General features: G+C 45.7%; 1 annotated feature.

Annotated features, from left to right (window-relative positions):
- Positions 6,488–6,987: an enhancer, noted in NCBI's record as "H3K4me1 hESC enhancer chr11:79214125-79214624 (GRCh37/hg19 assembly coordinates)". NCBI's record gives its function as "activates a minimal SCP1, AML or CMV promoter by ChIP-STARR-seq in primed H9 embryonic stem cells {active_cell/tissue: H9 hESC(primed)}" and the evidence as "EXISTENCE:reporter gene assay evidence [ECO:0000049][PMID:30033119]".

The raw sequence follows: 23,372 nt of genomic DNA on the forward strand, positions 1-23,372 counted from the left end.
GAAGCTGAGGCAGGAGAATCGCTTGAACCTGGGAGGCAGAGGTTGCAGTGAGTCGAGATTGCACTATTGCACTCCAGCCTGGGCAACAGAGCGAGACTCTGTCTCAAAAAAAAAAAATGTGTACGTATGTGTATGTATATATATATATATACACACAATATTCTATATGTGATTTAAAACCTGAAATTTGTTGTAGTTTTACTCAAACTACCAACTATCAATTGCTTTATTCTGTAAATACCTACCAAGCACATATTATATGCCAGGAATTATGTGGGGTTCTAGGGAAACAGCAGTGAATAGGACAAAGAAGGCCCTTATCTCATGAAGCTTACAGTGTAGTAGTTAGATAATTAACAAGTAAGCAAAGAAATGAACAAGGTGTGGTAGGTAAATGGTGATCCACCTGCTCAAAGATGTCCACATCATTATCCCTGGAACCTGTCAAGTTTACCTTACATAGCAATAGGCCCTTTGCATATATGATTAAATTAAGGGTCTTTTGATGGAGGGATTAACCTGATTTTAGCTAGGCAGGCCCAATGTAATGAACCTTTAGGAAAGGGAGTCAGTAAGATCAGAGTTAAAGAATAAGACATGAAGAGGGAAGCAGAGGTCAGACTGATTTGATTGACAGCTTTGAATATGAGAGGGGGCCATAAGCCAAGGAAAGAAGGCAGGCTCTGGATGCTGGGAAAGACAAGTAAATGATTCTCCCCTAGGGCCTTCAGAAAAAGTGCAGCTCCACTCACCCGTTTTAGACTTCTGACTTTCAGAAGTATAACAAAATAAATTGATGTTGCTTTCAGCCACTAAGTTTGTGGTAATTTGTTATAGTTGCAAGAAACTAATACACAAGGCACAGCCTGGGTAACATAGCAAGAGCCCTGTCCCTACAAAAAATGAAAGAAAAAAAAATTAGCTTGGTGTGGGGGCATGCGCCTGTGATCCCAGCTACTTGGGAGGCTGGGACAAGAGGATTGCTTGAGCCCAGGTGTTTGAGGCTTCAGTGAGCTATGATTGCACCACTGCACCCTAGCCTGGATGACATAGTGAGACTCTGTTTTTGAAAAAAAAAAAAAAAAAAAAAAGTAAAATATACAAGGCATTTACAGATTATGATCAAAATTCCAAATAAAAGAGACATTTTGATTAGATAACAACTGGGGCAGCCTTCTCTGAAGAGAGGATGAGAGTGAATCAGTCCAAGGAAAAGCACTCCAGGCAGAGGGAACAGCAGCTGCAAAGGCCCAGAGGACGCAATGTGATGAGTGGCAAAGACAGGGCCAGTGCAGCTAGACTTTAGAGAAAGAGCAGAGGGTGGGGTGAAGTGAGGTTGGAAAGTTAGGCCAGAGTCAGATCCTATTAGACCTTTTAGTCCATAGTGAGGGGTTCAGATTTTGTACTAAAAGAAAAGGGAAGCTCTTGAAGATTTTTAAACCAGGTGAGAAGTAAATTGCTACTGCATTGCCCAAAGTTCCTAGCATGATGAAGACCCTTTCTTGGGGCATGGGAAAAACTTAAACTCACTCAAGACCAACCCACCCTCCAAATGAGCTCTCCTGTGCTGTACCAGGTTTGTAGAACATGTCCAGTCTTCACTAGGAAGTGTGGGGTTCTCTGCCAACCTGGCACTCCAATTCTGTAAGGGCGGGTACCTCTGATGTAAACCATCAGCAGGAGACAGTGCTCTTACCTATAATTTCCCACAGAGAGACATGGAGGGAAACTGGGCATTACTGTGCTCAGAAATGCCCCTGCCAAGGGGTCGAACTTACCATCTACTATGCAAATATCTTGCTTCATATTTGCTCTGTCTTGAGATAGTAAACTCTGTGAAATTAGGGACGATCTGTACTTTTGTCCTTGCGTTTCTAGTTTTAGCATTTAGTAGATGTTCAATAGGCACTTGTTGAAAGCATGGATAACTGGAGGGAAGGGACATAAGTAATTTAGTGCTCTGTTTTGTAGGAAGCAGAAACAGTAAGATAGCTAACAAGCAGGAAAATACAAATATCGAAACACCCTGTCAGTTTTGCTATAATGCTTGTTTTGAAACTATGAATTTGTTCTAATGCAATTTATACTAGGGAACGATGTGAATATAAGACAATTTCCCCCCTTGAAAAACACTAGGTGAATGCCAAAAACCCAGCTGAACAGACCTGCGTAATACACAAAATGCACACACACATACACATCAAACATTCACAGTAACTTTAGATCACTGTACGTGTGAGGCTCCACACCCATCCACATCTGGTGTTCCAACTCTGTCCCATTTCAGATGATTCTCCTCCCACCACCTCACAATTACTCATGGTCTTCCTGACGCCCACTTCCACAAGCAAACTGCAGATCTTTATCAATGTCAAGTGCCATATTTATTACAGTACTTATATTTTTAACTATTAAATATGTTTAAGACAGGGCTGCTATTTTTATTGGGCTCCTATTTTTTTTTAAATGTGTCACTGGTGAAGTTTGTGAGTGTTATGCCCCTAATCCCATTTGCCCCGTAAACATGTGTTTTTTAGTGGGTAAATTTGCACAGTACAGTGATTTTTTTAGAACACGAATGTGGCTCTCGCTCTCGCTCTTGCTCTCCCTCTCCCTCTCCCTCTCCTTCTCCCTCCTCTGCCTCTGCCTCTGCCTCTCCCTCCCCTTTGCACGGTCCTCGTCTCACCTTTGCACGGTCTCCCTCTGATGCCGAGCGAGGCTGGACTGTACTGCCGCCATCTCGGCTCACTGCAGCCTCCCTGCCTGATTCTCCTGCCTCAGCCTGCCGAGTGCCTGGGATTGCAGGCGCGCGCCGCCACACATGACTGGTTTTCGTATTTTTTGGTAGAGACGGGGTTTCGCCGTGTTGGCCAGGCGGGTCTCCAGCTCCTGACCGCGAGTGGTCTGCCAGCCTCGGCCTCCCGAGGTGCCGGGATTGCAGACGGAGTCTCGCTCACTCAGTGCTCAATGTTGCCCAGGCTGGAGCGCAGTGGCGTGATCTTGGATCGCTACAACCTCCACCTCCCAGCCGCCTGCCTTGGCCTCCCAAAGTGCCGAGATTGCAGCCTCTGCCCCGCCGCCACCCCGTATAGGAAATGAGGAGCGTCTCTGCCTGGCCGCCCATCGTCTGGGATGTGAGGAGCCCCTCTGCCCGGCCGCCCAGTCTGGGAAGTGAGGAGCACCTCTTCCCGGCCGTCATCCCGTCTAGGAAGTGAGGAGTGTCTCTGCCCGGCCGCCCATCATCTGGGATGTGGGGAGCACCTCTGCCCCGCTGCCCGGTCTGAGATGTGAAGAGTGCCTCTGCCCGGCCGCGACCCCGTCTGGGAACTGAGGAGTGTCTCTGCCCCGCCGCCACCCCGTCTGGGAGGTGAGGAGCGTCTCTGACCAGCCGCCCCGTCTGAGAAGTGAGGAGCCCCTCCGCCCGGCAGCCGCCCAGTCTGGGAAGTGGGGAGCCCCTCAGCCCGGCAGCTGCCCTGTCTGGGAAGTGAGGAGCGTCTCCGCCCGGCGGCCGCCCCGTCCAGGAGGTAGGGGGCAGCCCCGCCCAGCCAGCCGCCCCATCCGGGAGGTGGGGGGCAGCCCCCACCCGGCCGCCGCCCCGTCTGGGAAGTGGGGAGCCCCTCTGCCCGGCCGCCACCCCTTCTGGGAGGTGGGGGGGCCCCTCTGCCCGGCAGCCCCGTCTGGGAGGTGAGGAGCCCCTCTGCCCGGCCGCCACCCCGTCTGGGAGGTGTACCCAACAGCTCATTAGAAGGGGCCATGATGACAATGGCGGTTTTGTCGAATAGAAAAGGGGGAAATGTGGGGAAAAGAAAGAGAGATCAGATTGTTATTGTGTCTGTGTAGAAAGAAGTAGACATAGGAGACTCCATTTTGTTCTGTACTAGGAAAAATTCTACCTTGGGATGCTGTTAATCTATAACCTTACCCCCAAACCCGTGCTCTCTGAAACATGTGCTGTGTCCACTAAGGGTTAAATGGATTAAGGGCGGTGCAAGATGTGCTTTGTTAAACAGATGTTTGAAGGCAGCATGCTCCTTAAGAGTCATCACCACTCCCTAATCTCAAGTACCCAGGGACACAAACACTGCGGAAGGCCGCAGGGCCCTCTGCCTAGGAAAACCAGAGACCTTTGTTCACTTGTTTATCTGCTGACCTTCCCTCCACTATTGTCCTATGACCCTGCCAAATCCCCCTCTCCGAGAAACACCCAAGAATGATCAATAAATACTAAAAAAAAAAAAAAAAAAAAAAAACCAAAAAACACGAATGTGGCATTATAGCAGAACTGACTGTACTTTCTTCTGTCTGCAACACCAGGCAAACAAGAAAAACACACACGGTGATTAGTGAAAAAGTGAAATCAAACCAATAGAGTACTAAGAATGCTTCATGATGTCCTTCTGGTGTATAGGACAATCTTCCTGCTATTTATTCATTTTTTCATCCATCCTTTCTTCCATTTATTTATTTATTCTATCAAATACCTACTATGTGTCAGGTCCTGAGAAAGGCCCTAGTGAACAAAATTAGAGTCTTAGAAAGTCTTAGGATTAGGAGAAAATAATATATGAACAGAAAATGATAGTTCACCTTTATTATAGGCTTACTACGTATCAGGCACTATGATCAGCACTTTACCCATTTTACTTAATCCTTTTAATAACCTGGTGGTTATTGGTAGATATTACCAATAAGTGAGGTATTAGTATTCTTCCCATTTTTCAGATGAGGATACTGAGGCTTAGCAACACCCAGGCGGTCTGACTCTAGAGCCTTTGTTCTTGAATGATATTGTTGAGGTCTGGCCGCCCTGCTTCTGTTTGCTTATCTCTAGTGGGGAAAACACTGCTTCTCCTTTTTTGGAGAATGGGGAGCAGCCTGTTCCATCTTTGGCAGTGTATCAAAGGAGTGAAAAAATATATTTTAACAGCTGGCACCAGAGTTCACGGTAGAGGGAGAGTTGTATTTATTTAAGAAAATACATTGGGAGGCCACTTCCTTCGGGGGTGCAGAAGAATCTGAGGGAAAATCTGAAAGGACCAAGCTATACTGTTTTGCATAAGATTTTAGTAGGAAATTTTGGATTGGGACAGAGTAGAGGAGGATGAAGACAGAGAAGGGACTGTGCACCCTGGCAGAGCACTGGTGCCCGCGGGGGATGGTGGTAAGGGAGGATATCCCTGAACAGGACTGGCCACAGGCTTTCAAATGCTGGGGAGCCCTTTGACATTGTTCCCTTGGACATTATTTGCTTTACTGTGATGTAAACACTCTCATCACTCAGACCTCCATAAAGTATATGGCACACTGTGGGGAAAACCAAAGCTCAAGGGTCATGTCTGAAACTGGGCTAGAATGGAGCACACCTGGGGAGGAAAGGCCCCCTCAAGCACATGCCCATTAAGTGATGGCCAATCACTGCTGATCTTCCTCTGCCTGGCAAGGCAAGCAGAGCCATTGCTGGGACCGGAGGATATCAGGGCCAGCTGTGAAGTAGGGGCGTCTGGAGAGGGCTCAGGTATAAATGAGGGGCATTCAGGTCCATTTCTGTGTAGTTCCTACAGGACTAACTAATGGACTTCAGATGGCCTTTGGGTTACAGTTGTTAGGAGTAGGGCTGTCAAGTCAGAGAAACCTGGGTTTGAATCCCAGTTTGGCCATTTACGGGTGACCTTGAACAATGTACTTAACCTGCCTGTACCTCTGCTTTCTTCATCTACAACATGGAGATGACCTTTCCTACTTTGAGTGGTTATTTAGAGAACCGAATGGATGTAAAATGTTTAACACAATGGCTGGCAAAATAATCAAATGATGATTGTTGTTACAACTAACTCCAGTGGTGGAGTGCTAATGGCATAGGCTTTTTACTTGGTAGGATCAGGGATCGAAATCCATTTTCGCTACTTACTAGGTCTGTCTACCTGAGCATGTGACTAAACTCTGGCTGTTAGCAAAATGGGGAAATAAGACCTACCTGGAAGGGCTGAGGTGAGGATTAAATGAGAGAACAGAACATACCTAACACTCTTCCAGGTACACAGTAGATATCCAATGATCAGGGCCAAGTCTAATCCATAGAGTACCTTTTGTGAATTAGGTAAAGTTACCCCTTCTTTTAAGCGACCCAGTTTGCAGGTTTCAGCCTCACTTACCACCCTGGCCTGGGTACCTTGGTGATGTGCACAACATGCACATCTATAGGACATGGCCTACCAGTGATGGGTGGCTGGTAGGACCGTGCTAATTAGCATTCTCCTGCCTCTGACTTGTCCGCTTTGTTCTGGCTTAAGACTGTTCTTGGTTTGGAAGAAAGCACCTAGGCTCCTTAATTTTCTCTCTTCTGGCCCCAGCTCCCTTTCTTCTTGTGACCTGGTTTCTCCACCCATCTCCCCCACTTCCACCCCCAGTCTTCTTACAGACAGGATGCTGGCCAACCTCTGGCTGTGCAGCTGGCCTGGAGACCACTCAGCTGGGAGCTGGATCAGTGGCCTCCCTCGTGACTCGCAGGCTCAGCCTGGGTTCTGGAACAGCCTCTGCCGAGATAATCTGTGCTTTAATTGCCAATGGCAGTCAGAAGGAAGCTGATGATCACCGCCCATAAAGGGCGAGAGTCTTTGGTGGGGAACTCCGCTGGCTGCAGAGCCATTGCAGGCTATTTTTAGTGCTTGGCCATAGAAGTGCAAGGAGAAAATGCCAAGCTGGAAGGCAGCCTTACCACAGAGGACTGGGCTCCCAGGGGGCTGTCTGTGACTTTCAACCCCAGCCCTTTGTGCTTCCTTTCCCTTCATGGTGAGGATTCCAGGCATTGCTGATAGCAGCAGCCATCCCTCTCCTGGAAGCTAAAAAAGCCTGGGAAGGACAGCAGTCACTGGTTCCTGGGCTGGCTGCATGAGCTGGTGTTTAACCCGCTGGCAATTCTTAGCACCAGGGAACTCAGCTCTCGTGGTGTTCCCATTTTATAAATGAGGACAGTGGGCCTCAGAGGTATGAAATAACTTTCTTAAGGTCATTATTCCAGTAAGTTCTCATCACAGTTGTCTTTGTCATTGCTTCCTTAGGAGCATCTGTTCAGCAGAGTGGTGGAAAAGTGCAACCAGAGTCCCTGCGTTTGCCTCCCAGCCTCTCACTAGTTGTGTGATCTTGGACAAATTACTTACCCTCTCTGAGTCCCAGTTTCCCATCTGTAAAGTAGGGGTAAGGAAAGTGCCACCACATAACGGTTGACAATTAAGTGAGAAAAAAACCTGGAAGACGCTTATAAATGTGCTTGACCTGTAGGAAGTACTCAATCAACGTCAGCTGATGATGTTCTGCTGCTGGGCCATCTGCTGACTCTTGGCAGGCATCTTAGCTAACCCCACAACAACTCAGCGAGGCATTATCAGCCCCATTTTTCAGATGGGGAAACTGAGTCCCAGAGAGATGAATTGAATTCCTAAGGGCACATGGCTAGGAAGGGCAGGAGGTGGACCTCGAACCCAGGGCTCTGACCTTCCAGGTCCAAGATCTTTCTCCCATGTAAGCTGGCGTTTCCTGTGTGCTGTGCCCCTTGGAAATCTGAGCAGAGGGAACAGGTGTAGGTGTCGAGAAGGTGATAAAGACAAGGTGAGGGTGTATGTGTAACATGTTAGAAAGTTTGGTGGGCACGAAAAGAAAAACAGCTCTGACCCAGTGCTCACGTTAGCAAAGATCTAGCTCCTCTCTCCTTCCTCATGGCTTCCAGGGTGTCCTTGAGACAAATTATGTAAGAAGGAGCCTCAGAGTCATCTTGAGTGACCTCCCCTGAGGTCCTACATGAGATTACTCTCCAGTCCTGCCATAATCAGTGGCATGGCTGTGTGAAACCCAGAGGGTGTCCCTTCAGGGTTAGGTTTGCTAGAATCAATATGGCCTCTATAGTCTGGTGTTGGGGTAGGTCTCCCTCAGCCTGGCCTGCTTTTCTCTGTCCTTGACCATTCTGTCTTCCAAATAACTCTTCTATGTACTCTTTCCTCTCCAGCCCACTGCCATCACCCTGATTTCAACCTTCTTTCCCCAGCAGGACCATTGCCACAGCCCTCTAATTGGTCTAGGCCCCATCTCCAATCCACAGGGGCTGCCTGAGAGGGTGGCCTTCTCAAATGTGAATTTCATGGGGTCACTTCCCTTCTTACATCCTTATGAGCTTCCCAGGGCCAGAAAGATCAACCTTTTGAGCTTCTAGCTCCCCCACCCCAAATACCCCAGGGGTGAAGCCCAACAGTTCTCAAAGGTGTGTCCCTAGAAAATATGCCTTTAGATTCTTAGTAGGTGGGGGCAGCATTCCGTGGGGAAATTATTATGGGAAAAATACTGAATGAGGTTCAGCAGGTTTATTTGTTGTGGGACTTCTTAGAACTTCTATTATGCTAACTTCTGATACAAAAGCGTTCCAGTTAACCACAGGCAAGGCTGCCTGGAAAACAGTAAGTACCAAAGGTGCTGAATGAGAAGGAAAAAAAAGGAAACAGTATGGACTCCTAGTTTGAGCAACAGCTGACACTAACATAGCACTTACTTCTGTTGTGTGCTTTGTTTCTGTTGACTCATTTAGTCCCCATAGTTCTAGGAGGCAGGCACTATCATTATCCTCATTTTGTGGATGGGGAAACTGAAGCACAGAGAAGTTAAGCGGGTTACCTAGGTTCACCAAGCTAGTTAGCAGTGGAGCTAAGATTCCAACCCAGACATTCTGGCTCTGAAATCTGCACTCATAGCCACTACACTAGAGCCACACTTTGAGGACTCCATATGTACCTGGCATTGTGATAAGCACCCTATATGCATTATTTCCTTGATCCTCACAACAACCCCACACTTATTATCTTCATCCTTTTTGTTAGGGAAACAGAAATACAGTGCACATTGAGCTAAGAGGTGCCTAAGCTGAGGTTTGAACCCAGGTCTTTCTGTGATTTGTGAATCTCCAGCCTGTCTTGTTCTGAACAGAATAAGGGAGTCCTTTACCAAGGGGCATCTTGCAGTGTGTAAAATATACACTAGAAAAGCTTCCTTAGCTATCTGGAAATAGTCACTGCCAAATTATATCATCCTGTTTCCCGACGCCAGGACTTTGCTTGTACTGTTCCCTTGGCCTGGAGTGCCATCTTCCTGCTCAGTCCTCCGAACACCAAGGAAGAACTAAAATAAGGTCCCATCTCTTTAGTTTTCCCAGACTTTCCCCTTTCAAGCAGCTGTTCCCTATCTGTGCTTGCATGGCACTCTATGAAAAAATTATGCACCAATGGTCTGCTACAGTATAGATTCTTTCATTTATTCATTCTCTCCCTCATTCATTCGTTCATGCATTTACTTAACAAGTATTTATTGAGCATCTCCTAAGTACCAGCATTGTTTTAGGTCCTAGGGATACAGCAGTGAAGAAAACAGACACAAATGTAGACCCTCATGGAACTTACACTGTAGTGGGAGAAAAGGGATAATTAAATAAGTGAACAAATATAACATTTTTGAAGGTGAAGGGGGATAGGGAGGGATTGATTAAGAAAGGGTTGCACTTTTAAATAGAGAGTTAGATAGCCTGGTGTGGTGGTATGCTCCTGTAATCCCAGCTACTCAGGAAGCTGAGGCAAGAGAATATCTTGAACCTGGAGGCAGAGGCTGCAGTCAGCCAAGGTTGTGCTACTGCACTCCAGCCTGGGTGACAGAGCGAGACTGTCTCAAATAAAAAAATAAATAAATAAATAAATAAATAAATAAATAAATAAATAAATAAGGGGTTAGAGAAGGCCAACCTGAGGTTGTGACCTTTGAGCAAGGACCCAAAGGAACTGGCACGTTCCCAGGTCAGGGTGGAGCCACCTTGGCTGCCTTGGGGCGAGTGAGGAGAGAGTAGCTGCAGATGCTCAACAAAGGTTTCTTTCTTTCTTTCTTTCTTTTTCTTGAGATGGAGTTTCACTCTTATTGCCCCGGCTGGAGTGCAATGGTGCGATTTTGGCTCACTACAACCTCCACCTCCCAGGTTCAAGCGATTCTCCTGCCTCCGCCACCCAAGTAGCTGGGATTACAGACATGCACAACCACACCCAGCTAATTTTGTATTTTTAGTAGAGCGGAGTTTCTCCATGTTGGTCAGGCTGGTCTCGAACTCCCGACTGTTAAGGACAAACTGCCCCAAAAAGCTTCTTGGTACCGCCGACACTCCCTGCAAACCTCTCCTTGCTGCCCACCCTTCCCCCAAGCCTCTTTACATTTCTAAGCCCTTATCTAGGTTCCACAGTGAACCCAGCAGACTTCACTTATCAGACCTCGCTATGATAAACAAACCCCAATTACAAACCATCCAGATTGCACAGGGGGAGGTCGTGGGAAGCATAAACAAACTACCTACACCCTCCTGTTATAAACATCACAAGGTGATATGTGGCAAAATTAACCAGCAAACAACCCCAGGATATGGCCCTACCAAAGAACTCCCTCAAACTCTCTTCCCCAATATAAACCCCTCATTCTGTAAGCTTGCTGCTGCCTCCTCTGTCTGTGGTGGAGCAGCTGGTAGGTTAATATACTTACTTGCCTGACTTTGGGTCTATTCTTCCTTTCTCTCGGCTGACCTTACACCGATCTTAGGTGACCCGCCTGCCTCGCCCTCCCGAAGTGCTGGGATTACAAGCATGAGCCACCGTGCCCGGCCCAAGAAAGGTTTCTTAATTTGAGTTGCTTAACAAAAGTTTCAGACTTTCTCAATGGTATTATCCCCAAACTTTTCATTAGCATTTTTAGAAGAAATATTTTAACGATGAGCTAAAGTACATGTGACCACTGAGCATAAAGCCAGCATCTGAAAATCTGGGGATCACTGAAAGCCTGGGACAGAGAGTTAGGGACCTGCTTTAACCTTGACCTCGGCAATCCCCTTCTATCTTGGCCACTGTTTTGTCCCCTGTATAAGGGACCTAAGGATGTCTCAGGTCCCTTCCAGTTCTGGCTTCATGATATTTCAGAAGACTCAGTCTCCTTTTCTGTGAAATGGGGGTTATAATACCTGCTCCAGTCTCTCTTCTGGTTGTTGTGTCAAATAAGGCAATGAATATGCCTTTTCTCTACCAGATAAAATGTGGAGTCCAAAGTAGATAAAGGCTAGTGTTAACAGGAACTCTATTATTACGTGTTGGTAACCAAATCTGCCGTTCATGTGTGCTTGTGAGCATTTCCTCCGGTTAATCCCAACAGTCACTCTACGACTTGAACATCACCAGTTCTGTTTTATGGCTGAGGAAACTGCCTTAGAGAGGCACATTCACTTGCGTGAGGGCAGAGAACGTGTGAGAGGAGGACCCAGGATTCAAATTCCAGAATGTGTCAGGGCTTGTACTGGCTTCCCAGTACACACAGAGGCCCGGTTGAGGTCAAAGCTAAGCCTACAGGTAGGGACAAAACAGAACCAAAGGCAATGGGAAACCAAACAAATTCTCAGCCCTTACAGCTGCTCCTAGCCTGGAACAAGGTGAAAAAAAGTGGGATGGTGGGGTGAACCATCTGAGTGGCCTATGGGGGTGAACCGTAGGGGCACCAGGAGGAACCAAGCTGTGGATTGAGGCTTCGGGCCAGCTCAGGAAGGGAGGTGACATGGAGAAGCCACCAGCCAGTCCCGGCTGCAGCCACAACCCATGGTGGACTGCGAGGCATGTGCTCAGCCCCCTTACAAGGGGTCTGTATGTAGCAAAGGGCCCAAGGGGTCAGCCTTGGCCACTGTTATGTTAATATTAAAGATATTAACACACATATCAAGGACTTTACAAAACAAGAGAAAAGAATGGGGAAGAAAGAACAGAAAATCATTTCATACATATTTAATAAATAAAAGACCTAAACAAAACTCTTTATTAATATTTCCATACTAGTGATAAGACAGATAGATTGGAATTAGATATGGAAAAATGTAATATTCTACAAAAGAAACTCTAGGGAGACCCAGGGAGTTATGAAGGTCACTTCTCATTAAGGGTAAACTTTTCTGTCCTTTCTGCCACTGCCTTTATCCTAAGCCTCTGCCAGAGTTGGCAATTTCCCACTCCCTTTTTGTGTTGGAGACAGACGGTGCCACCAAATGCCCCCCTTGGCTAGTCACTGCGAGGCTATTTTTAGTTTTCCAAGCAATTAATGAAATTGTCCGTTTGTGGGCAGTTTTTTTTTTATTGGCTGTTTCAGCTGCTCTGAAGTATAAGCAGTGTATTATTAATAATTCTGTAACTCTTAAGACACCTAGAATGGGGGACATGGCTTTCCCTTGACTTGGGTTATAGGAAAAAGCAAAGATTCCTAAATTTTGGAGGTGGCAGCTACCTTGGGAGGACTGTAGGCTTTGAGGTAGACCTGAATTTCCAAGACATAGACTCCTTGGCTGTAAAATGCGCATCACAGTACCACCCTTTAGGTTGTGTTGCTGTCTGTGAAGTGCCTATAATGGAGTCTGGAACAGTCAAGGAAGAAATATTTGTTCAAGGAGTGGATGAATGCATGAGATCACATTGGTGTGGCTTCCACTAGAGCAAATGCTTATTGACTAAGTGAAACAGGGTATGTATGTGCAGCACTTAGCAGAGCAGATTATTGTTGGGGAGTGTTATGGGTTGAATTGTGTCCCCCCAAAAAGAAATGTGGAGTCCTCATCCCCAGTACTTCAGAATGTGACCTTATTTGGAGATAGAGTCTTTAGAGAGGTAATCAATTTAAAATGAGGCCATCAGGATGGTCCTCATTCAATATGACTAATGTCCTTATAAGAGGTGGAAATTTGGACATACAGACACATGCAGGGAGAATGCCATATGAAAATAAAGGCAGAGATTAGGGTGATACATCTACAACCCAAAGAATGCCAAAGAAGGCAAGCAAGCTGCCAGAAGCTAGGAGAGGGGCATGGAATAGATTCTTCCTCCCAACCCTCACAAGGAACTAACTCTGATTACACCTTGACCTCAGGTTTCTAGCTCATAGAACAGTAAGACAATACATTTCTGCTGTTTAAGTCACTCAAGTTTGTGATATTTTGTTATGGCATCCCTAAAGAATGAATACAGGGAGTGCTATGGTCTGAATGTTTGTGTCCCCTCCAAATTCATATGTTGAAACCCAACCCCAATGTGAGAGCATGAAGAGGTGGACCCTTTTGGGAGGTGATTAGGTCATGAAGGCAGAGCTCTCACAAATGGGATTAGTGACCTTATAAAAGAGTACTGAGGAGAATCGCTTGAACCTGGGAGGCAGAGGTTGCAGTGAGCCAAGACTGCACCATTGCCCTTCAGCCTGGGTGACAGAGTGAGACTCTGTCTCAAAAAAAAAAAAAAAAAAAAAAAAGGGTCCTGAGGGAGCATGCTGGCCCCTTTTCCATGTGAGAACAAGGCTAGAAGGCGCTATTGCTGTCTTTGAAGCACAGAGCAGCACTCACCAGACACTGAATCTACTGGCACCTTGATCTTGAACTTATCAGTCTCCAGAACTGTGAGCAATAAATTCACACTGCTTCTAAATTACCCAGTCTAAGGTATTTTGTTATAGCAGCCTGAATGCACTAAGATAGGGAGCATTAGTGGGATTCCATATGCTGTAAATCCCTGGCTCCGGCCTGCTGTAGAGTATACCCTCAATAAGTGCTTGTAAAAATGAATCAGTGAGATAACACAGAGCAAATACCTCACTCAGTGTCTAATATGTAGTAGGTGCTGTTAATACTTGTTAAATGAATGATGAGCAAGGCTATCCATGAAGCTTGTATTCCAAAGCTTGGCGTACAGGCAGATAGATGTTGGGTGAAGATTTCCTAACCGGATGGCCAGCAGAGCTAACATTTGTATAACACTTACTATGAGCCAGGCAGTACTCTGAATGATTGACGTGTATGTAATCCTCTTTTAATCCTCACAACCACTGTATTATTTGTCCCATTTTAAAGATGGGGACACTGAGATGCAGAGGGGTCAAATAACTTTCCCAAATTCACCTGGCTAATGAGCAGAGTTGACTGTTGGATCTGGTTTGTCTAGGACGAGGTGCCTACTCCGAACCACTATTTGGAATCATGTATGTGAAGAGCCTCACACATCGTAGGTGACCAATTCCAAACCAGCGAGTGGACGGGACTGCCTGGACAAAGTCGTGGGCACAAGGCCCTGCCCCAGTGGCCTTACAGTAGAGGCAGCCCCATTGCTCCATTCCTTTCTCTCTTAAGTTCTCCCTGATTCAGCCTCTGTCTCCACAGACCTCTGGGGCTTTGTGCTTCTCAGGGGCAGAAGGGCAGCTGCTTGGGCCCAGCCAGAATTAGCACGGCCTGTCTCTGAGTGGAGACCCTCATATGTCAGTCCCCTCTTCCTACTCCTGGTCCTTCAGCTGGGCAAAGAGGAAGCCGACTTGATGCTGAAGAGGGAAGCGGAGCAGAGGGGGTGTCAACACCTCCTGCTGTCCATCAGCAAAGCAGCTTCCGCTGTCAGAGGGCTGGTGGCACTGAGTGTCCCACCTCTTCTCCATAATTCATCCCAAACCAAGTGAGGAGCGCTGACTCGGCACTTCTGGTTGCAGGGCCTGGCTGTTCATAGGCTTTCCCAGACGCTTCTGGGCTCCGCCACATATCAGCAATGGCAGTGATTTACGGTGTCACAGGCCAGTGTCCTCTACCCTGACCACTGCTCTCAGCCACAGATTTAATTATTTAAACAGATTTTACATTTTATGAGCATGCCCTCAGGCCTGGCAGAGGAAAGAAAGCCTCGGGAGAGAAAAAACAAAAACAAAAACAAAAGCAAAAAAACCTTTGCTTGAAACATTAAATTGAAATATGGAAGGACGGAGTACAGGAAACATCCCTGATTCTTCAGTGTGTGGTATTCAAGGCCTTCTGAACTTGTCCCATTTTACCTGTTCCTTCCCTTGTTTCTATCTTACTGTAGAAAAAAGTAATACTTGACCATCCTGTGCAAATGAGTGAGAGAGCAAACAAGAAAGTGAACCACGAAATGCTGGAGTAGAGAGAACGTACAGGAGATTCCCTTGTTTGCAAGTTCACAATTTTGTTTTTGCTAACTAGCCTTTCTGTGATGCATGTGTACTCTACACACACACACACACACACACACACACACACACACACACACATATTCACTCATAGGGTTTTACTATGTACCTGGTACTAAGGTAGGACTCGGAATGCCTTAGTGAACAAAACACACAAAAATCCCTGCCCTCATGGAATTTCCATTCCATGGCAGGAGGTATCGTTACCTCATCATTGGAGCTCCTGCTCTTTCATGAGGGTCCAGCTAAAATGCTACTTTTCCTTCCCTCCTGACCTTCCAGGAGAAATTAATGGCTTACGTGACACTCTAATTGTCTATCAGAGCCAAACTCACTCTGCCATAACTGTCGGTAAACTTGAAGCTCCTTTTCTTAGTCTGAGAACTCCTTGAAGGTGAGGACTGTCAAATTTTGCTTCTCTCTGAGCACCTAGCACAGTGCTTGCAGCATGGTAGATGCTTGTCATGTGGACGGCCATTGGAAGACTCCTCTGCCGCTCTTTTCTGGCAAAGGGAGTCTCCTCGTGTGTTCTCTTCACTCTGACATTTTCTGGTTTGTTTTGTTGTTTGTTCTCTCACTTCCTCCCTCAATCACTCATTCATTTAGTGAACATATATTTAGTGAGCACCACTCCATAGGAAGCCCTGTTTTAGGTGCTGGGGATATGTTGACAAAGATAGAGAAGGCTCCTGACCTTGGTGTGCTTGCATCACAGCTGTAGAGGGAGGGAGGAAGCAGCTGTTCTATGGTTCTTTGTATATTAGTTTCTCAAACTGCCATAGGCAGTCATAGGCCCTCAGTGCCATGGCACACCCAGGCTGGGCCTGGGATGACCCATCCTAAACGCAGGTGGTGAGGTGTCTGTGTTTTCCCTGCTTGGTTCAGAGAATAAGGCTGAAGTAAATGAATCTCACCAATCTCCCTCTTCCAAGCTCTTCACCTCTGTGTAAACAGAAGATAACAGAGTCCAAGGCTATTAAAATAATAATGCAAATAATCCATATTTTTCATTTTAAAAGCACTTCTGGAGCATCCGATTAATCTTCTCAGTACCCTTGTGTGTAGATAAGTATAAGGTTTTGCTTTTAGATGAAGGAACTGAAACATGAGGTGATTAAACTATTGGCCTGAGGCTATAGTGAAAGCAAGGTTTTGAGTGGGGATTGGATTCATCAGTCCTCAGTTACTTTGAGCAACTGCAGACTTCAAGGGCCATGTCCCGTGGGCAGCTGCAGGGATTGCAGCCAATCTGCCTTGGTGGGGGCAGTGCAGAGGGGTGGGGAAGAACTGAAGCTCTGCAGGCCCACAGGCACCACCATGTAGGGCTGTGTGACCTTTGGCAAGTGCTTTGAGCTCCCTGCACTCCAGATTCCTCATCTATTACATGGAGATAATCACTTTGTTGCAGGGTTATGAGGGTGAAAATAACTGAGATTATGTTTGTAGAGTGCTTAGTGTGGGGCAGGATACCTTTTTCTTAAAGTTTTCTAGAGACAGAAGCATTTGAAATGGGCAAAGTGCTTAGAGCTACGAATCACCGTCATCATCATTATCATCCAGCATCTTTTGGGCATTTGGTGTATTCCAGACATAAAGGTGCATTAGCATAACTTCATTAAATGCTAAGTGTCTTGTTATGATCATCAGTCAGGTGCAACACCTATGTCATGTCATTTATCTGATTTCTTTCTCCACGAACAAATGCCAGGCATCTGTCCTGTATGCTGCAGGGGATACAGAATTGCCTTGAATATGGACCCTGCCCCCTGAGAGATCCAGCTGGGGAAGCATCAGTCCAGTTAGTCATGAAGGGCCTGGGTCTACATCCTCAGCATCACCCAGGGTCTGGTTACCTGAAAGCCTTTTTGGCTCCAGCAGGGAAAGTTGCAATTAGCTTTGCTATATAAATAGCTCACATTCTAGATATGCCCTGCATGGCACCAGGCACATAACATGCATTCTTTTATCTAATCCTCATAACAATCCTGGGAGGCAAGAACAATTATCACTTGGATTTTGTAGATGAGGAAACTGAGGTGCAGAGAGAGAAATCACTTTTGTGAGGTTTCATAACCAAACACATAGTTGGCCAATCCTCAGTTTGGTATGTCTGAGAGGAGATTTGTGTCTGAAGACAGAATAGAGAGGTATAAATTAAAGCCAGATTCATAATCCAGCTCATCATAACCTGCTATTGGGACTTTCAGGCTGTCACCCAGTTTTCTATGCAACTTTTAGTAAATCACCAAGGATTTATATGATCTCTGTTATTGGCCCAAATTGTGGATGTTACAAGAGCAGTAGAGAATACCTTTTATTCTTGAAGATATTTGAGATGAAAGCATTTGGATTGGACAGGGTGTTTGGACATGCTCATCATCATCATCACCATCTTTATTATCACCTTCCAATATCTTTTGGGCATTTGGCACATTCTAGATATAAAGGTGTCTGGCATAGACTACCCTATTGAATCCCCCCAAAATCTTTATGACTAGGTATTATTTAACCTATTTTAAAGATGAGAAAACAGGCATGCTAGAAAGCTTACAGATGTTAAGTAACTAGCCCAAGGCCACAGAGCTAGCAAATATGAGAGCTAGATTTAAATCATGCAGGGTTGCAGGAGGGAGTGCTGCCAGTCCTGGTATGGTCCTGTTTGAGAAGCCTCCTGTCTTGTCTCCTCTTTCAGTGCTCCAGGAAGCTTTCTCCTCCAGCAAGAATGAGAATTAATAACTTTAAAGTTGGAAGAGTCACTCTTGGTTTGCACACTTTTACGAGGCTTCCTTGGGAGGATGTTTAACCTCTGTCTGCACCTCTGTTTCCTCATTGCTCTCATGTGCCTGCCTCCTGGGGTGTGTCTGCATTATTAATGATGGCAAAGTGATGTGAGCACACTGCACCGAGGTAGATTCATGAGAGTGCAAAGTATGATTAATCTCCAGAACCATCCAATCGGGCCACATGGAGCTGAAGGACATGGGTACCCTACATTTTGCAGGGCCTGGACTTAAGTGTGTTCACATCACTCTCACATCGGATTTTCCCTAAGACTCTGTGCAGGAGGCTGCATGGCAGACAGACGAAAGAGTATTAGGGCCACAGAGACCCATAGGATTACTGGAGGGAGAAAAGAGCATTGGGCCAAGGAGAAATTTGTGGCACAGAACTGCTAGTGCTCACCATTATCATGGCTATGCTAGTTTTTTAGCTTCCTTGCAATTAGGTGTGCCCATGTGACTGAATCTGGCCAATGGCATGCAAGTGGATGGGGTATGTGCCACTTTCAGGTGTGGCTCCTAGAATTTCCCCCTTGGGACCTTGCTAGAGGACTTAAATGAGGGTGGAGCCACAAGATGGACAGAGCCTGGGTCCCTGAATGATAGCTGCTTTTCCTTGCCAACTCAGACTGAGCTGTGACGTGAAAAAAAAGCTTTTGCCATGTTAAGTCACTAAAATATTGGGGTTTATCTGTTGCATTCACTAGCATTATTTACCTAATAAGCAATAATAAAAATGTGACTTTTACAGCATTTGTGGTTTTCCAATCGCTTTCATATACTATAATTTGGAGGATCTTCAGGAGACCTTTGTGTTTTTAGTATCACAGAGAGTTGTGTTTCTGGAGGGAACTATTTGTGTTCAACCTTATGGATATCTTGTGGGTTAATCATCTTTTCTTCTGTCACCCTGCCTTTTAGAAGGCTCATAGACATTGTGGCCTTGTGATCATGGCTGCATGACATGCTGTTTGAGTACCAATTTCATTTCTGTGCCATCTTGCCTCCTAAGTGATTCACTTTCTTCAAACCTCAGTTGCCCCCTCTGTAAAATGGGGATAGACAAAGAGCCAACTTGGTTAGATGTGGCTAGACTTTCATCCATCTGAATAGCTCACACCCAACTCTGCTGCAGAGTCATTTCCCAAACCCTGATTCCCAGAATATGGAATGCAGGAGGAGGCTCAGCAATGCCCACTCCGACCTTTCATTCAGTGCTTCTCAAACTGCTGGGGATTGTTAGTGGTCTGCCAGGAGATGAATGAAGCCAGAGAATAAATATGGCATAATTTTGCTATAAATGTGCAGAAACAAAACTTTTCAATTTTGATATGGCATATGCTTAAGCAACATCAGGAGATGTTTTCTTTCCATGTTATCCAAGCTAAAGGTCCTCCCTTCTCCCCATCCCCCCAAATCCTGGACAGTAGAAAATTCTTATTTGCCTGACTGAAAGGACAGATTCACTGGCTGGCTGCCATGGTAACCCCTGCATGCCCTCCCTCAGTTGCTCTGCAGGTCCAAGCCTTCGGGTTTTAGCAAAACTCCCAGGGAGCAGCCTCTTGCATTATCTTTTCACACTTGCAGATCACTTCCTAAATTCCCAATGTGCCCTACATCAGGAATTTCTCTCTGAGTTTTGTATAGGAAAAGCATCACTTTCCCAAGGAATGGTCACTTGTTCTCCTGCTGTGATAAGGAGTCCTACAGAAATCATCACATTCTTCCTTGATCCTTGGCAGCCTGAAAGCCCAGGTGCCAGGTTTTGCACATATTTGTTTTCTCCCATTTCATTTAAAGAAATTGTTATCTCTCTCCTCCTCCATCCCTTTCCTTATTATTTTATTAAGTCTATTGTAAATGTCCGTTTTTTGTAATTTTCCTCAAGTCCTTCCTAGGGTGAGGCAGAATGGAAATCAATTCAAGAAATTACAAGTGCCTAAATAAACCAGCATTTCTAACACTCTAAGGGGGCCAGATTTTTTTGTTTGTTTGTTTTCCATTCCCTCTGCCTTCTCCCACCCATGGGGTCATTGGACAACCCTCATTCCTTGCCTAAACTCCCCTCCCCTCCCACCTTCTTGAGTCCTCATCCTTTATTACCCAGATAAATAATCCTGGCAAAGCTACACAATAAAAAGAACTAGTAGTTTTAATAAAGCAAAAGGACATTCAAAGCTCCCCTTGAATGTCAGCCTCAACTTTTGGCTACAGTGGAGGTGATGTAGAGCAATTATGATGAGGAGCTGCAAATAGGACCTAGGGTGGGGGGACTCACAGGAAGCCACCAAGGTAGAAGGAGTGATAATGTGGGGTAGGGGGTGCAGGGAGAGCTGATGGGTGGAAACAGATGGGTTAATGCAGGGAGGAGGAAGAGAATGGCTAGATGTGTTGACAGTGCCCAGGCGAGGAGCTGGTGTGATTACTTTCAAGTTGGCTACAAAAAAAAAAAAAAAAAGAAAAAAAAAAAAAAAGGCTTTTTCCCTCTGTGTTGGATGTTTTAAAAAGTTGTAATACCAGAAAGTTGTGCTTAAAACAAGACCACTAAAAACAGAACCCAGGAATTCAGTCGCTAACCATCAAACATTAGAAATCACTTTGGACTTAAGTAAATCATTTGCTAGCCTTAAATGCTTTTAATATATATGTTTAAAAGCTCCTGCCCTCTTTTGCTTTTTTATTTTTTAATGGCTGTCTGCCTGCCTCCGAACTGTAACATCTCAAGTGTTTTCTTCTTTTCTGGGGGGATAACCAAATCATAGTTTCTTTTGACCCGGTTCACTGTCAGGTCTCTTCTTCCTCAGTAGTTAGAGACCAAGGGTGGGTAGTGAGGAGCCTGACATAATTACTAAAGGGGCATTCCTGCCGAGTCTTGCTAGACTCCAGAAGTCTGCAGAAAACAATTCCTGCCTGTTTTGATTCTGGAAACAATGAAATGGGGCACAGATGCCCCTCCATGCGATTCAACACATGTGGACTGGCACCTTCTTAGGAACTGAGGGAACTATCCAAGACATGTAGCTCAACTTCTTAAATTGAGAGAGGAAAGATAGAGTCCAGAGAGGTGAGGTGACTACCCCATATTAGTCTGTTCTCTTGTGGCTAACAAAGACGTACTGGAGACTGGGTAATTTATGAAGGAAAGAGGTTTAATGGACTCACAGTTCCACATGGCTGGGGAGGCCACATAATCATGGCAGAAGATGAAGGAAGAACAAAGGGATGTCTTACATGGAGGCCGGTAACAGCGGTTGTGGAGGGGAACTCCCCTTTATAAAACTATCAGAGCTCATGAGACTTATTCACTGTCACGAGAACGGCATGGGAAAAACCCAGCCCCATGATTCAATTATCTCCCACTGGGTCCCTCCCACAATACATGGGGATTATTACAATTCAAGGTGAGATTTGGGTGGGGACACAAAGCCAAACCATATCAACCCCTAATGTCACAGTGCCAGTATGAGGTACAGTTAGTACTAGAATCCAGGCCTTCAGACTCTCTACTTGCAGAAATCATGGGGTCTTGGTCCCAGGAGAAGACATAGGAGAAATAACATTTATAATGCACCTAGTATCTGCCTGGCACTACCTTAGGCATTTTACTCCATTACTATACAACCACTGAAAATGTCAGCTATTGCTTATTGAATACCTGCTACATGCTAACTATGCCATGCTAAACACGCACGTATATTTTTTCTCATCCTTACAAAATGCATGAGGCAAATATTACTCCCATTTTTACACACGGGCAAGCAGCCTAAAAGAGCTAAGTTACCCAAGGACACACAGCTAGGGAATATGGGAACTGGGACATGACTCTAAACCTATGTTCCTTCCTGAATCCCTATCCTTTTCCCCCAGTGACAGTTCTCACTCAACTGGCTCAGCCTTTGCAAAGTCCCATGGTAGGTGTTTGTGACTCAGGGAGTGGGTATAAGGTGTCCCTTTCTGGGATGTTTTCTTTTCCTCCCCTTCCCACTGTGTTTCCTGCTCTTCTGAGGCAGATGCACATACCTGGGGAAATACAGCATGGCAAAATGGAAAGAACACTTCAATGTCAGCTCAGTTCCTGCTACAATTCTACATGCCATGATATTGGGCGAGTTCCCTGACTTCTGTGAGCCTCGTTCTCCTCATCTTTTAAAATGGAAATAATAATATCTATGCCTAAGGGTTGAAATCCAACATATGAAGTGTCTGACTTATAAGTGTTTAGGAGTGATAGCTGTAAGCTGTGGCCAGTTCTGGAAGGTTCCATGCCAGTTTTCGAAGTTCCCTGAAAAGCCCTAGGAGACCTGGCCTATCTTTTCCCCTCCTGTATCTGATCTTGGGCCTGGAAGTTCTGGGAGAGCAGGGCTGAGTGAGCATCTGTGTAGGGCCATTCTGGGTCATGAACCATTGCCAATGGTGGAAACTGTTGGGTTCATCAGACTCATTGTCCAGTGCATAATTCCTACATTCATCACAGGGTAATGCAAAATATTCTTGTTCTACATATACTATGGAGAAGAAGAAAAATATCTCCATACTATTGTTTATGAGGAGGAGGAGTCCCCAGAGGTGAATACCAACAGCTTCTTGCAGACATTGAGGCAGGGCAGTAAATAAGAGATAAGCAGATTGGTGATGGAAGCCTTTCTGGTACATACATGTGTGCATGTGTGCACATATTTGCATGACCTTGGTTTGAGTGATTCTATATTTATGTGACAGGTCTCTAGTTCTGTCAAGGTGCAATAGGCTTGTTTTGTCCAGGTCTGTTGGAGATACGCACAGGTGTATGAGGTTGTTCCTCATTACTAGGAGGAGCAATGAGGGCTAGTATTGTGGTTCCCAAGCCCAGCTATGCTTTAGGACCTGGGGAGCTTGCAAACAACCCTGCAGAGTCCCAAGCCCCACCTCTAGAGAGCTTGATACAGCCTGGGTAGGAATGAGGTACCGATTTGTAATTTTAAAAGGCTTTCCCTGTACTCCTGATGAATAGCCAGGTTGGGAACCATGGAGACAGTAGACAGGTCATGGTGTATGATCCAGATTGGGTCTGAATTCCTTTCCAATATGGACTAGCTAGAGACCCACAGCTCTGATGGATCATCTCATTTGCTTCTCAGAGTCCCTCTGTGTTCCTGTGTCATCATCCCCCTCTCAAAGCGAAGGAGAAAGGCTTCGAGAAGTCACCCAGCTAGGAAGGGCCTCACTTTGGATTAGTGCATTTTTCTCATCATAGCAATATCCATGGACATAGGTATCTGGCACTAACCACACTGGGCGGCGGGTGGGGGGGGGGCCCACACTGGGTAGCCAGTGTCATTGGTACACACCTCTCTGGGCAACAGTTGCTATTTACTTAAAAAAGTAAGTTACAATTGGCACATTTTCTGTTTGCAATAATAAAAAATAATTCCTCTTCCTTGCGCACAAAGGCTCCAATTATGATTTAATTCAATTCTGATTAACTATGCTTTGATGGCATTTCCATTACATAAAAAATAAAATGTATTAGCCAAGCATAATGTGTTTTGACTATAGTTCTGATGC

Source organism: Homo sapiens, chromosome 11, assembly GCF_000001405.40.
Source record: "Homo sapiens chromosome 11, GRCh38.p14 Primary Assembly".
Classification (NCBI taxonomy): Eukaryota; Metazoa; Chordata; class Mammalia; order Primates; family Hominidae; genus Homo; species Homo sapiens.